Below are 1,944 nucleotides of genomic sequence, written 5' to 3'. Positions count from 1 at the left end.
CAATGTTAAATATGTACTAGTGGATGTTACTTTGCTGAATATTGCCTAGTGAATATTAAGTATTCTCACCTTTCAGACATGAAGTTATGAATTTAAGATGTGAAGATTTACAGCTTGATAAACCAGCTTCAGGAGGTAGGTCTTCAGTCTTAAGTCAGATTGGAAGATTATATGCAGGCCGGCCACAGTGACTCACGTCTGTAATCCCAGCACTCTGGGAGGCCGAGGCGGGTGGATCACGAAGTCAGGAGATGGAGACCATCCTGACTGACAGGATGAAACCCCATCTCTACTAAAAATACAAAAAATTAGACGGGTGTGGTGGCGGGCACCTGTAGTCCCATCTACTTGGGAGGCTGAGGCAGGAGAATGGCATGAACCCAGGAGGCGGAGCTTGCAGTGAGCCGAGATCCCGCCACTGCACTCCAGCCTGGGCGACAGAGCAAGACTCTGTCTCAAAAAAAAAAAAAAAAAAAAAAGATTATGTGCAATAATTATTTAATGCTTAACATTGTTTTTTTTTAAAATGGTACCTTCCACATGAAATAATATGCCTGTAACTATTAATTATGTTCCAGGATAGGAGAATTCATGTTGTCAAAATTCTTTTTTTTTTTTTGAGATGGAGTTTTGCTCTTGTTGCCCAGGCTAGAGTGCAATGGCACAATCTTGGTTCACTGCAACCTCTGCCTCCTGGGTTCAAGCAATTCTCCTGCCTCAGCTTCCCGAGTGGCTGAGATTACAGGCATGCACTACCACACCCGGATAATTTTGTATTTTTAATAGAGACGGGGTTTCTCCGTGTTTATCAGGCTAGTCTCGAACTCCCAACCTCAGGTGATCCATCTCGGCCTTCCAAAGTGCTGGGATTACAGGCGAGAGCTACTCCGCCTGGCCTCACGTTGTCAAAATTCGAATACTCTCTAAAACAGTGAACTCATTTTCTTTTTTTCATCTCTTAATTGTTAGATGTGTTTTGAAAGAAACAGAAGTAGAATTGGTTTTCATACTTGTTTTGCTTCTGGAGTGAAATGGGGACAAAACAATGGAATCACACTGTTAAGATTTACTAAAATGGAAGGATTGCAGCAAGATCATATCCCTAGTCTCCCCATAGCAAATGGCACCTGCTAGCTGTTCTTTTTTTTTTGAAATGGAGTCTTCCTCTGTCACCCAGGCTGGAGTGCAGTGCTGCTATCTTGGCTCATTGCAACCTCTGCCTCCCAGGATCAAGCAATTCTCTTGCCTCAGTCTCCTGAGTAGCTGGGATTACAGGTGCACGCCACCATGCTTGGCTAATTTTTGTAATTTTTTTTTTTTTTTTTTTGAGATGGAGTCTTGCCGTGTTGCCCAGGCTGGAATGCAGTGGTGCGATCTCGGCTCACTACAAGCTCCGCCTCCCGGGTTCATACCATTCTCCTGCCTCAGCCTCCCAAGTAGCTGGGACTACAGGCACCTGCGACCACACCCGGCGAATTTTTTGTATTTTTAGTAGAGATGGGGTTTCACCATGTTAGCGAGAATGGTCTTGATCTCCTGACTTCATGATCCACCTGCCTTGGCCTTCCAAAGTGCTGGAATTACAGGCATGAGCCACTGCGCCCGGCCCTAATTTTTGTAATTTTTTAGTAGAGATGGGGTTTCACCATGTTGGCCAGGCTGGTCTGAAACTCCTGATATTATGATCCGTCTGCCTCGTCCTCCCAAAGAGTTGGGATTACAGGTTTGAGCCACTGCGCCTGGTCATAATGTTTTCTATAATGTTGTTTTATTTTAGGAAAGTAAATACAATGAGTAGGACACAGCTCCACGATTCTCTTAACTGTTTTTTTGTTGTTGTTGTTGTTGTTGTTTTTTGAGGTGGAGTTTCACTGTTGTTGCCTAGGCTGGAGTGCAGTGCTGTGATCTCAGCTCACTGCAGCCTGTGCCTCCTGGGTTCAAGCA

Source organism: Homo sapiens, chromosome 7 (genome assembly GCF_000001405.40).
Source record: "Homo sapiens chromosome 7, GRCh38.p14 Primary Assembly".
In the NCBI taxonomy this organism is placed as follows: Eukaryota; Metazoa; Chordata; class Mammalia; order Primates; family Hominidae; genus Homo; species Homo sapiens.
This window is presented reverse-complemented; position numbering follows the sequence as displayed.